Source organism: Homo sapiens, chromosome X, assembly GCF_000001405.40.
Source record: "Homo sapiens chromosome X, GRCh38.p14 Primary Assembly".
Taxonomy (NCBI): domain Eukaryota; kingdom Metazoa; phylum Chordata; class Mammalia; order Primates; family Hominidae; genus Homo; species Homo sapiens.
This window is the reverse complement of record NC_000023.11, coordinates 81,233,504-81,248,197: the sequence shown is the minus strand read 5'-3', so window position 1 is coordinate 81,248,197 and position 14,694 is coordinate 81,233,504. Positions and strand designations below refer to the sequence as shown.

General features: G+C 39.0%; 1 protein-coding gene across 4 annotated transcripts in view; it reads right to left on the bottom strand.

Annotated features, from left to right (window-relative positions):
- SH3BGRL (SH3 domain binding glutamate rich protein like) overlaps positions 1–14,694 on the bottom strand; it is a 96,446-nt gene that overhangs the window by 50,350 nt on the left and 31,402 nt on the right. For 2 of the 4 annotated variants that reach the window (XM_011531014.2, XM_047442354.1), the window contains one exon: positions 10,918–11,080. The exons of 1 other annotated variant lie outside the window; for it this stretch is intronic. In XM_011531014.2, coding sequence (XP_011529316.1) covers positions 10,918–11,073 — 156 coding nt within the window. In that variant the 5' untranslated portion in view covers positions 11,074–11,080. Of the gene's footprint in view, positions 1–10,917; positions 11,081–11,807; positions 11,891–14,694 lie in introns of those variants that run through there. One more of the 4 variants, XM_011531013.1, reaches the window with a different exon arrangement.

Genomic DNA, 14,694 nt, shown 5'->3' with positions numbered 1-14,694 from the left:
AAAGACATAAGATTCAAATAAGCATAATCAGAAAGGACAAAGGTGACATTACAAATGACCCCACAGAAATACAAAAGATTCTCAGGAACCATTATGAACACTTCTATGCACAGAAACTAAAAAATCTAGAAGATATAAATATATTCCTGGAAACACACAACCTCCTAGGATTGAATCAGGAAGGATTTGAAACCCTAAACAGGCCAATACTGAGTTCCAAAATTGAAGCAGTAATTTAAAAAAAAAAACTTCCAACCAAAAAAAAAGCCCTGGACCAGATGGATTCACAGCCAAATTCTACCAAAGAAGAACTTGTACCCATTCCTCTGAAAGTATTCCCAAAACAAGGAGGAAGGACATCTCCCTTACTCATTCTAAAAAACCAGCATTACCCTAATACTAAAACCTGGCAAAGTTACACTAAAAAAAGAAAACTGCAGGACAATATCCCTGATAAACCTAGACACAAAAATCCTCAACAAAATACTAGCAAACTGAGTCCAAAAGCACGACAGAAAGTTAATGCACCACAATCAAGCAGGACTTCATTCCTGGGATGCAAGGTTGATTTAAGAAATATAAATCAATAAATGTGATTCACAACAAAAACAGAATGAAAAACAAAAGCCATATAATCATCTCAATAGATGCAGAAAAAGCTTTCAATAAAATCCAGTATCTTTTCATGATAAAAACCCTCAAGAAACTAGGCGTCAAAGAACCATACCTCAAAATAAAAAGAGTCATCTATATCAAACCAACAGCCAACATCATACTGAATGGGCAAAAACCCGAAGCATTTCTCTTGAAAACTGCAATAAGACAAGGATGCCCACTGTCATCACTCCTTTTCAACATAGTACTGGAAGTCCTGGCCAGAGCAATCAGGCAAGAGAAAGTATAAAAGCATCCAAATAGGAAAAGAAGTCAAATTATCTCTCATCACAGACAATAAGATTCTACACCTAGAAAACCCTAAACACTCTTCCAGAAGCCTCTTGGAAATGATAAACTATTTCAGTACAAATTTCTAATACAAAATCAGCATACACAAATCAGTACCATTTCTATACAACAATAACATCCAAGCTGAGAGCCAAGTAAATAATGCAATTCCATTACAATAGGCACAAAAGAATAAAATGCTTAGGTTTGATGTGTTCAAACCAAAATGTGAAAGATCTCTATAACAAAAACTACAAAACAGTTCCAAAAGAAATCAAAGACAACACAAACAAATGGAAAAACTTTATATGCTAATGATTTGGAAGAAAAGTATTGTTAAAATGACCGCACTGCCTAAAGAAATCTACAGATTCAATGTTATTGCTATCAAACTACAAATAACATTCTTCGCAGAACTAGAAAAAAACTATGCTAAAATTCATACGAAACTAAAATATTGCCCAAATAGCCCTAGAAATCCTAAGCAAAAACAACAAAGCCAGAAGCGTCGCATTATCTGACTTCAAACTGCACTATAAGGCTACAATAATCAAACCAGCATGGTACTGGTACTAAAACAGACTCACTGACTAAGATAAAAAAAAAATAGAGAACCCAGAAATAAAGCTGCACACCTACAGTCATCTGATCTTTGACAAAGTTGAGAAAAATAAACAATTGGAAAGAACTTCCTATTCAATAAATGTTTCTGGGATAACTGGCTACCCATATGCAGAAGATTGAATCTGGGCCCCTTCCTTTCATGAAGTACAAAATTTAACTCAAGGTGAATTAAATATTTAGATGTAAGACCTCAAACTATAAAGATCCTAGAAGAAATCCTAGGAAACCATACTGGACATCTTCCTTGAGAAAGAATTTATGACTAAGTAATCAAAAGCAACTGCAAAAAGCAAAAAATTAACAAGTGTGACGTAATTAAAGAACTTCTGCACAGCAAAAGAAACTACTGCCAGAGTAAACAGGCCACCTATAGAAGGTGAGACAATATTCACAAACTACACATCTGACCAAGGTTTAATATCCAGAATCTATAAGGAACTTAAACAAATTAACAAGCAAAAACAAAATAACCCCATTACAAATGGGCAAAAGACATGAACGGACACTACTCAAAGGAAGATATACAAACGGCCAATACACATATAAAACAATGCTCCACATTACTAATCATCGGAGAAATGTTAATCAAAACCACAATGAGATACCATTTCACACCAGTCAGAATGGCTACTATTAACAAGTCAAAAAGCTGGCGAGGCTGTGGAGAAAAGGGAATGCTTATATGCTGTTGATGCGAACATAATTTATTTCAGCTACTGTGGAAAGCAGTTTGAAGATTTCTCAAACTTAAAACAAAACTAACATTTGACCTAGCAATCTAATTGCTGGGTATATATCCAAAAGAAAATCATTCGACCAAAAAGACACACTTACTTGCATAGTCATCACAGTACTATTCACAACAGCAAAGACATTGAATTAACCTAGGTGCCCATCAATGATGGACTGGACACCATAAAATGGTAACAGACAGAACTATCTGAACAAAAAGAAAACTAACATGGTACAGCAAAACAAGATATATTCTGTAATTTCTATCTCTACAAGTTAAGATGTTTTAATTTGTAATATAAATATAATGGTTATTCATACAGTGAGGCATGAACAATCAGTAAATTAATGCAATGTACTTCTCTTTTCTACTCGCACAGTTACCTGCTCATATAACTGCTTCTGCATTTTAAGATCTCTTATTACATAAAAGCAAGCTCGCCAAACCATTGTGTGCAAAGGAAGAAATCTGGAAAAAATATATACATACCTATATATTTTTGTGGAATATGATGTGAAATGTGAAAAAATACACTTTCACATAAAAGTCTTGTTGCTACTAGGTAACAGAGTCTCCTCAAGGGCAGGTCTCACATCTGATTTATGTTTGTGTGCCTCAGAATACAGAACAGAGTGCCTTATACATTGTGGGTACTCAATAAATACTTTTAAGTACAGGCCTATTCAGAGCAGAAAGCCTTATTTAAACCACAATGCATCATTTGGATAGTACTCTCACAAGAATACTGACAAGATCTATTCTATTGATGCTTTAATCACTGTAAAATCAGTTACTAGCAGTATTTTCATCTTTCAATCCAAGCCTGTTTTGGCCTAATTCTAAATCAGAAGACATTCACTGAAGAAAAGCAGAGTATATTGACTTTCAGGCCCAAGAACTAAACCAGAAAAGAGGGATGCAAAGAAATGAAGTAGGCAAAAATGCTCTGCTAGCATCTGACACCTTCTAGGTTTTTCTTCCTCTGCCTAACCCCAAGTTCTAAAATGACCTCTGTTTCTGGACAGGAAAGAATCTTTCTTTTACCTGAACACAGGGAGGGGAACATCACACACCACACCGGGGCCTGTAGCGGGGTGGAGGGAGGGATAGCATTAGGAGAAATACCTAATGTAGATGACGGGTTGATGGGTGCAGCAAACCACCATGGCACATGTATACGTATGTAACAAATCCTGCACATTCTGCACATGTGTCTGAGAACTTAAAAGTATAATAAGAAAATTAAATTAAAAAAAGAATCTTTCTTAAAGCTGTTAATCAGATACTTGATTCATGAGCCATTAGAAATCTATTTAGAATTGGTTTAAGTTTAAAGCTGACTATATATTAATACATACAACTGGTTTTTGTTCTCTGCCTGTCTAGTTTGAGAAAGCAAACAATTCGAAGATGATAAATACACCTTAGGGCAACAAGCATGACATTACATGCTGCATGTTGGCATAATAACCTAAAGTTCATAAAATAAGAGGCTCAGCTAAAATTTTTCATAGAAATGTACCCTGTCAGCTAACATTTTAAATGTTAGTTTAGGTGATGTTTTGTTACTTAATTACAGCCCTATAACTGATTGACAGAGACAACTGCATGAACATAGTCCCAAATGAACATAATCTGTCCAGTCTTGTAATTCATGTGTCCCCCCAGCACTCCTTTTTCTTGGATTTTTTCCCTACATTTTTTGGTCTGTGTTTCCTAAAGAGTTGTGAAGATTTGCATGGAAGAGACATATGTTAGATACAAGGATTTTAGCAGTCAAGAAAGAAAGCCAACTTTGGTAGAAAAAAAATAACTCAATAAAGATGACTAAATAAATTAATAAAGTGCTGTAAAAACATCTGACATGTGGTAAGCTTTCAATTAATGTCAGTTGTCATTATTACTGTTATCATTTCAATAGGTGAGGGAGACAGTGTGGTGTATTAACAATAATACTGGACTCTGAGTCAAATTTCGTTCACCATTTGACTATTTGACCTATTAGACATAAGGTAGTAAACAAACCACTTAAATCCTCAAGGCCTCAGTTTCCTGATGTCCAAAAGAGGGACATGAGTTCTTACCCTCATAAATTATTATGATTATTAATGTAAATATATTAGAATATATGTAAAAGACTTGTATAAATATAATCAAGTAAGAATTTACTTATTTTTTTTTAATTTTTGTGAGCACATAGTTGGTATATATATTTATGGGGGACATGAGATGTTTTGAAACAGACATGCAATGTTAATAAGCACATCGTACAGAATTAGGTATCCATCCCCATATCATAGAGAATCGGGTATCTATCCCCACAAGCATTTATACTTTTGTGCTATAAACAATACAATTATACTCAGTTATTTTAAAATTTAACAATTAAGTTATTATTGACAACAGTCACCCTGTTGTGCTATCAAATAGTAGGTCTTATTCATTCTTTCCAACTTTTTTGTACCCAATAACCATTCCAATCTCCTCCCGACCCCCTCGCTACCCTTTCCAATCTCTGGTAACCATATTTCTACTTTCTATGGCCATGAGTTTAATTGTTTTGAATTTTAGATTCCACAAATAAATGAGAACACATGGCATTTGCCTTATTGCGCCTGATTTATTTCACTTAATATAATGATCTCCAGTTCTATCCATGCTGTTGCAAATGACAGGATCTCATTTTTATGACTGAATAGTCCTCCACTGTGCATATGTACCACATTTTCTTTACATTTCATTCATCTGTCGATGGACACTTAGATTGCTTCCAAATCTTACCTATTGTGAATGCTACAACAAACATGGCAGTGCAGAATACCTCTTTGATATACTGATTTCCTTTCTTTGGGGTATATATCCAGCAGTAGAATTGCTGAATCATGTGTTATCTCTATTTTCAGTTTTTAGAGGAACCTACAAACATTTCTCCATACTGGTAGTACTAATGTACATTCCCACCAACAGTGTATGGGGGTTCCCTTTCCTCCACATCCTCACCAGAATTTTCTATTGCCTGTCTTTCTAGATAAGCCATTTTAACTGGGGTGAGATGATATATCATTGCAGTTTTGATTTACATTTCTCTGGTGATCAGTGATGTTGAGCACTTTTCCATGTCTGATTGTCCTCTGTATGCCCATTTTTTGATTGGATTATAAGTTTTTTTTTCCTCTAGAGCTGTTTGGGCTCCTTAAGTATTCTGGTTATTAATACCTTGTCAGATGGATAGTTTGCAAATATTGTCTACTACTCTGTGGGCTGTCTCTTCACTTTGTTGATTGTTCCCTTGCTGTGCAGAAGCTTTATAACATGATGTGATCGCAGTTGTTCATTTTTGCTTTAGTTGCTGGTGCCTGTGCAGTGTTACTCAAGCAATTTTTGCCCAGACCAATATCCTAAAGAGTTTCCCCCAATGTTTTCTTGTAGTAGTGTCTTGTAGTACTTTTGACATCTCATATTTAAGTCTTTAATCCATTTAAATATGATTTTTGTATATGGCAAGAGATAGGGGTCTACTTTCATTCTTCTGCATATGGATGTCCAGTTTTCCAGCACCATTAATCGAAGTGACTCTCTTTTCCCCAGTGTATGTTCATGGCAGTTTTGTCAAAAATGAGTTCACTGTAAATGTGTGGATTTGTTTCAGGGTTCTCTAGTCTGTTCTATTGGTCTATGCTTCTGTCTTTATGCCAATACCATGCTATTTTGGTTATTATAGCTCTGTAGTATAATTTTGTCATGGGATTCTTGGGGTGTCATTTTGCAAGCTAGAAAACTCTGTAGCTGGCAGCACCTTCTGCTTCAGTATTACTTACAAGTTCTTATTCCGCCCACTCGGTTCAGCATGCTGCACTTGGCTCATGCTACTGGCCTGGATCCCATACCTGCCAAGGGCAAGCCAGGGCAGAGAAGTGAGGGGTGTGTGGGTGAGCAAGTGTGGGGACCAGACACTGCGCCCAGCCAGGCATGCTGGCTTCTGCTGTCGGGCAGGCAGCTCCAGGCACTGGCACAGGTACCAGCTCCATGCAAGGCTGTGGCTGGACCAGATGTACTGCACGTGCCTTCCACTGCAAGCAACCTGTGTCTGGACGAGAGGAACGTGGTGATGCTTGGAAGTTGCAGATGCCAGGAACTGCAGAGCCCCAAAGAGGATGTCACATCTCTGGCTCGGGGACCCCCTAAGTCTGGGGTCCCCAAAGGGCTGCAACTCTTCTCTCCTTGTTGCCCACAACACAGTGAACAGGGGTGCATGTTTCAGCCAGGAGATGAGCTTCATTGAGTGACAGAACACTCAGGAGACCAAAAGTGGGTAGCTCCTTCCTGCAGCTGATAATCCCAATGTCTGCCAGAGTCTGGCTGAGTCTGGGGTTTTTATGGGCTCACAGGGAGGAAATGATTATTGATTGGTCCATGGGGAGCCATGGGTGGGCCAAGAAAAAGTACCATAAGCTATCACTCTGGGCCATGGACTCCACTTGGAACTGGCAGCCTGGCCCCCAGATTTCAGACTTTATCTGTCTTGAAGGTGGGGTTTCACCTGAAACCTACCCCTTTCCACCCCGGAGACTGTCTGCCTTCTGCCATCCATGGCACCCAGGCTGTTTGTGCCAAGGGGTGCATGCAGGCCCGTGCCAAGCAACCCTCAGCCTCCTCAGTATCCCTCTCATGCTCCTCAGTGCACAAAGTCTAGAGGAAGCTGAGGCAGCAGGGTCTGCTGTGTCAGCACCGCCCCAATCATGCACACACCCAGTTGGGTTGCTACAACACCCAGACAAGGCCACAACTTTGCTCCACCCAAGAGCAGGCACCAGGAGCGGGAAGAGGCCAGAGAGAGGGAAAAGGCACTTCTGAGCCTGCAGAAGCAGGGATGGATTTCCAGGCCCCTGAGAGGGCAAGGATGCCTGGGTTCACAACCTTGGCTGGGCATTTTCAGCTGCACACAGGAGCATGGGGCTCCCACCCTGCCAACTCAGTAGGGGATGGGGCTCCCACTTGTTACCAGCCCCCACTGGCTCTGCGGAGTGTGTAGCCCAAGCTGCATCTCCCCCACTGTAGCTGGCATCCCCACAGAGGCTGCTCCAGACACACCACCACCACCATCAATTTGAAGTCAGGTAATGTGATTCCTCCAGTTTTGTTCTTTTTTGTTTAAGATAGCTTTAACTATTCTGTGTCTTCTGTGGTTCCCTATAACTGTACAGATTGTTGTTTCTATGTTTGTGAAGAATGCCATTGCTATGTTGATATGGACTGCACTGAATCTGGAGATTGCTTTGGGTAGGATGAACATTTAAACAATATTGATTCTTCCAATCCATGAAAATGAGATGTATTTCCATTTTTTGGAGCCCTCTTCAGTTCCTGTCATCAAGGTTTTATGGTTTTCATTAGATCATTTACTTCTTTGGTTAACGCCCCGCTATTTAATTTTATTTCTGGCTATTGTAAATGGGATTAATTTTTTATTTCTTTTTCAGATTGTTCACTGTTGGCATGCCACATACTTGCAAATACTATCTTATGACCCATTATTTTCAACTAAATAATAACACTGTTTGCATGAAGAAACAAACATGCAAAATAAAACTAATAAAAACTTTACACCTTAACACCATCCACCTGCTTTTTAACTTTCTGCTGTTTCTGTTTACATATTATTGTATTGTCTATGTCTCCAAAAGATGTTGTAGTTATTGTTTTTGATTGGTTTATCGTTTAGTTCTTCTACTCAGGATAAGAGTGTTACACACCACAGTTACAGTGATATAATAATCTGTGTTTTTTCTGTGTATTTCCTCTTACCAGTGAATTTTGTACTTTCAAGAGATTACTTTTTGCTCATTATCATTATTTTCTTTCTCATTGAAATACTACCCTTAGCATTTCTTGTAGGACAAGTCTGGTGTTAATGAAAACCCTCAGCTTTTGTTTGTCGGGGAAAATATTTCTCCTTCAAGTTTGAAGAATATTTTTGCTAGATGTACTATTCTTGGGTTAAAGTTGTTCTCCTTCAGTACTTTAAATATATCGTCCCACTCTCTCCCGGTCTGTAAGGTTTCCACTGAATAGTCTGCTGCCAGATGCATTGGAGCTCCATTGTATGTTATTTATTTTCTCTTGCTGCTTTTAGGATTCTTTCTTTATCCTTGATCTTTGGAAGTTTGATTATTAAATGCCTTGAGGCAGTTTTCTTTGGGTTAAATCTGCTCGGTGTTCTACAACCTTCTTGTACTTGTTTCTTGGTATCTTTCTGTTTTGGAAGTTTCTCTGTCATTTTTCCTTTGAATGAACTTTCTACCCCTATCTCTTTCTCTACCTCCTCTCTAAGGCCCATAACTTTTAGATTTGCCCTTTTCCACCATTTTTTAGATTCTGTATGCGTGCTACATATTCTTTTTTCTTTTGTCTCCTATGACTGTGCATTTTCAAATAGCCAGTTATTAAGACCACTACTTCTTTCTTGTCTGATCAATTCCACTATTAAAAAACTCTGATGCATTTCTCAGTATCCTCATTGCATTTTCTGCTCCAGAATTTCTGTTTGTTTCTTTTTAATTACTTTAATCTCTTTCCTAAATTTATATGATAGAATTCTGAATTCCTTCTCTGTGTTATCTTGATTTCTTTTGAGTTTCCTCATCACAGCTATTTTGAATTATCAGTCTGAGAGTTCACATATCTCTTTTTCTCCAGGATTTGTCCCTGGTGTCTTATTTAGTAATTAATGAGGTCATGTTTTCCTGGATGATGTTGATGCTAGTAGATGTTCTTTGTCATCTGGGCATTAAAGAGTTAGGTATTTCTTGTAATCTTCAATGTTTGGGCTTGTTTGTACCTCTCTTTCTTAGAAAAGCTCTCCAGATATTCAAAATAAATTGGGTTTGTGATCCAAGCTGCAGCTGCTTCAGAAGGCATGCCAAGTCCATTAATTCTTTGGCTGTTGCATACTCATAGAGGTATCACCTTGATGGTGCTGGGCTAGTTCCAGGAGAATTCTCTGAATTACCAGGCAGAGACTCTTGTTCTCTTCCCTTACCTTCTCCCAAGCAATGGAGTCTCTCTCTCCCTCTCTCTCTCTCTCTCTCTCTCTCTCTCTCTCTGTTCTGCACTACCCAAAGGTAGGAACAGAGTGACACAAGTACCCCTGTGGCCACCACCACTATGACTGCACTGGGTCAGACCTGAAGCAAACATAGCACTGTGTCTCACCCGAGCCCTGCTGTAATCACCCCCTGGCTACTGCCTGTTCGCTCAAAACCCTGGGGCTTTACAATTAGCAGGTGACAAAACCAGCCTGGCCTGTGTTCTTCTCCTCAGTGTGGTGAGTTCCCCCAGATCCCAGGTGGATTCAAAGGTGTTGTGCAGGAGGCCGATAATAGAATCAAAAACCTTAGCAGTCCACCTGGTGTTCTATTATACTGTGGCTGCACTGGCACTTAAGCCACAAGATGTAGTCCTTTCTACTGTTCACTCCACTTTCCAAAGGCAGAGGTGCCTCACCCCGTGGCCACTGCCACCACAGGCCATGGGGAGTACTGCCAGACTGCTGTCAATGTTCCCTTAAGGCCCAAGGGCCCGTAAGTCGGCTTGTAGTTAATGTTGCCTGGCCTGAGACTCACCCTTCAGGGCAGTGGGCTCCCTTCAGGCCCAGGGCAGGTCCAGAAATACCATCCAAGAGTCAAGTCCTGGAGTCAGGGACTCCAAGAGCTTGCCTGATGCTCTACCCTCCTGTGGCCAGCCAAGCGGGTACCTTAAGCTTACAATCAGAGACCCAACCAAGGCCTTTGATGTAGTACCTGGGAATCACTGTTGGTTATTCAGGGCCTGAGGCCTCTTTAGTTAGCAAATGATGGATGCTGCCAAGATTGGGTCCTTCCCTTCAAGGCAGTGGGTTCCCTTCTGGCCCAGGGTATGTCTAGAAATGTCATCCGGGAGCTAGGGCCTGAAACAGGGGCCTCACAACTATGACCAGTGCCCTGTCCTGCTGTGGCTGAGCTAGTATCCAAGATACAAGACAAAGTCCTCCCCACTCTTCCTTCTCCTCTCCTCAAGCAGAAGGAAGGCGCTTCTTTTGGAGCTGTGAGCTGTGCAACCTAAGGTTAAAGGAGGGGTGATGACAGCATTCCCTTAGCCAACCCAGCTATTGTCTTAGTAGCTCATGTGCCCCACAGTCTACTGTATCTGGACTCAGTTCAGCTCTAGGATTTGCCTTAGTGTTGCAGCCCTTGTAGCCTAGCCTGCCTTTCAAGTTTACTTAAAGACCCAGGGCAATGTAACCCTCTGTGGCAAGGTTTGCAAGAACTCAAGTTCTGACTGCTAGTATCAACAATTCCCTTCTGGCTGGGGCTACTTTAAATGCTCCCTGTGTCCAGACATCAGCTGAGTTTGGTCTGGTTTTCCTTTCTGCTCTAACAGGACAGAACTGAGTTGAATGTCTCACAATTGCTGAGTTCTCCCTCCCCCAGCAACCAGAGAAGCTCTCTGCACCATGCAACTGCTGCTGGTCGGGGAGGGAGTTATGGGCGACACTGGTGATTCAAGACTGTTTTTTCTACCTTTTCAGTGCCTCTTTCACCAATATGATGTTAAAACCAGGTACTATGAGTACTTACCTGATTTTGAGTTCTTACAAAGGTTTTGTGTGTGTGCATGTAGATAGTTGTTAAATTGATGAAGCTTTTGTGTGTGTGCATGTAGATAGTTGTTAAATTGGTGTTCGTGTGAAGGGGATGATTGGTGGAGTCTTCTATTTCACCATCTTGATCCATCTCTTCCCTAGGAAATCCAAGTAAGAATTTAATTCAATAACATTACTTGACTTTTCTCTCACTACCATAGCCTTCACTGGAATCTATCTAATTTCCATGGTTTCAAGTCTTTAGACTGTGCCTGCTTTCTTACTGAAGGTTCCTTGCCACTTAGAAGCCACACCAGGGCCTCCTTGCACTGTCATCCTATTCTGTCTCTCTCTCTCTCTCTCTCTCTCTCTCTCCCTCAGCCTCTCTCTCTCCCTCCGTCCTTCCCTCACACACACACAACAAAACTTACTGGACTTCAGATAAGATCATTTTCTTTTCTTCTAGAATCCTGTGTATTATAACTTAAATGGTAATTGGTTCCACAGTGTGTGGCTAATTCCAAACACTGCCACTTTTTTATAGAAAGTGAGCATTCTCTAAACTACATAGTTTTCAGCCCTTTTAGAAATACATGGCTCAGTCTTCTCAAGTCTTCAACTACATATCCTTAGTTATATATAGCTACTTGATGTTTTTTGATGGTGCATCTGTTGTTGAAAATGCAGACTGTTGAGTCGCATTCCCATGGATCCAAATTTAATAAGTCTAGAGCACCCATGAATAAAATTTTAAACAGTCACCCTCTGAAATTTTTGAAGCAGGTGTTACTCATACTGCATCGTGAGAAACAATGGAATGTTTATAGAAAACCTAACACTGAGTCGTTTACTAGTCCTAAGTCATGTATTTGCTCTTACTGTTACCTCTCACAGGAATGTCCTTTGTCTTCACCTTGATTGTAGGTACCCGTTAATAGAAGTTTACTAGGCATGTTTTAATATCTGAAAGGGTTGTAATTCTGGTTAATTATTATTGCTTATTTTTTGAGATTCTGCTTAAAATGCAGAATCCTTGTCCATTTTTCCACACCTAGCATGTGTGCTCTTGCCTATTAAATTAGATATGGACACGATCTGCACTGGGGTACAAAGAAGTATTCGGTGATTATAGAGTCTGTAGGCTATACACACTGAAGTTTTGCATCTGAGTCCATACCCTTGAGTTAAGTTTGCTATCCAGGCTCTAAATTGGGTAAACTCATAAAAAACAAACAAACCTGGGCATCAGATTGGTCAGGGTAGTAATTCAGACCACATAGAAACTAGGGAGAAGAATTGGCAGTCATGTCAGGACCAGACATTGTGGATGAGAGGTCAGGAAATTAAAAGTAGCTGTCAGCTAGAAAACTGTACAAGTTCAGTACGAGGAGCCAGTGATAGCACTCCAATGGTTTAAGACCAAATGATGGCATGTTACACAACTATCTAGTTGAATAGGTACAGTTAGTTGATTGAGTTATGTAATAACAAGGAGAAAAAAGGCTAGAGTGGTAAAAGCAGAGTTGGAGTGGAACATAAGAAGGACAAGAGCCATGGGTACAGTTAATAAGTGGAAAAATAAAAATTTGAACTAATTTCAACCTTATTTTGTTATACCAGGAGATTTTCAAACCTCAGTATGACTGAAAATATACTTCAGAAAGTCAAGACCTGGGCCTAGGAGTCTGCATTAAAAACACTACTCTGGGTAGAGGTGGGTAGTCTATATATCATATCTGAAAACAGTAAACTATTGCTCTTAATTGTTTGCTTGAGGCACTATTTCTCTTTCCCTTTCTTACGTTCTACTTTTGTCAACTGAGGCAAGTTTCCATATTCACTTTTCCGATACTCAACTACCTAGCAACCCCAAGCATTAAAAATACAAATTCTCTGACCCTTTTTCTCTCTCCCCAGCCCTTCCAAACTCTGGGTTGTAAGACCTGGAGACTTCCTAAAAGAAAAAAGCAACTACTTTTTGGGACAGTTTGGTAGTGGTCTCTGCCAGGCATACTATATCCTAAATCCTCAAGCTCATAAGCATGTTTTCTTTGCTAACATTAAAATAATATTTATCAAAATTTTGTTAGCTTTACCTTTATTGAGTGCCTACTATGTACTAAGCACAGTGTGGAGCATATAACATTATCTCTAAATCCTCAAAATAAATCTGTGATGTTGGTATTACTGTCTTCATTTGACAGATAAAGAAAGGGACTCTCTGAGATGAGGGAAAAGGTAAGTAATCTACTCAAGACAACCACCATTAAATGATAGCTTGTTCCATTACATGAGATTTAAAAACATGTATCCTGAATCCAAAATTTGTGCTTTAAATTGTTCAGCTTTACAGTGTATGGAAACCCAGATGTCTCATAAGTACTTGCTAGCTCATAAATCTCCACAATAACTACTGGCATTAGTCTAAGACACAATCACAAAAATCTAAAAGGCAAAGGAAAGGGACATAACTCAAAACCCAGAATTACAACCCTTTCAGATATTAAAACATGCCTAGTAAACTTCTGTTAACGGGTACCTACAATCAAGGTGAAGAATTCATATGTCTCAAGACCCAGAGAGCCTTAATGATTTTAGTGGGAGACAGAATTGAAAAAAGAAGAATATTTCCACAGTTAAGCCTCATCTAAGAACTTTAAAATTTCCATAAGTTATCTTGCTGTTCAATAGTACACATACTTTCACAACAGAAGAAAAGTTTTCCATGTTACACCAAAAAATTCAATGGAGAACATTTTGCTGTAACACAAATCATAAAGAAATGTAATTAACAATCACATCTCCTGGCCATATTTGAATGCAAAATAATCAAAACATTGGAAGAAGCATTAATACCTTAAAAACGAAAAGCTGCACTGAACTGTTCATAAATTTACTTTGTAAAAATCATGAAAGACAACTAAAAAGAAAATGAGGAAAACCATTTCATCATCTGTATTTTATTAATGCATAATGCAGAAATGATTTTTTTTAACATTTGCCTTATTACTTTGAGAAAATGAGCAAGTCAAGGTATTTCTATATTGATGCAACCTATTTGTAATTGGAATCTACTTTTTAAAATCCAATTTGAAGAATTTAGAAAGGGCCAATAAAGAGACTATGTATGTTTTTGCAACTTGCTCGAGATAGCCTGTGAAAAACAGACTATTCTAGACTATGTAAAGAGCCTAGAGAGTAGAGGTAAATATTAATAGTAAATTAATGAAAGACAAAATAATCTGTTGAATGATGACCTAGAAAAAAACACAAACTTCCTCAACAGGACATTTAAAAATATCTAGGCAGTTAAGATGGGCCTGCCAAATGAGGAAAGTATAAAAGCAAACAACTGTAATTTCTGTGCACTTCTGACTTACCAGTTTAAATTCAAACTTTTTGTTTACCAGCATTAACAGTAGCTGACTTCTTCCTGTCTTAGTCGAACAATGAAACTATAAAATCCTGGATACGGATCCTGGCTCTAAAATTATTGACTATAAGACCTTGGGCAAGGTATTCAAATGCTCTGAGGCTCAGTTTTCTTAAATGTAAAATGGGCATAATAACACCTACTTCATAGACTACATAAAAGAGGAATGCAAAGTGCCTGGCTCCAAGCTTGGCACCCAAAAGGCACTCAATAAACAGAATGTCTTCCCACATTTATTTACTCCTTTTCTCCTACTTATTTTTCAAATTCATGCCAAAGTCATGTCAGTGTAAAATCCTGGATATGGATCCTGGCTCTGCTAAGTTATTGGCTATATAA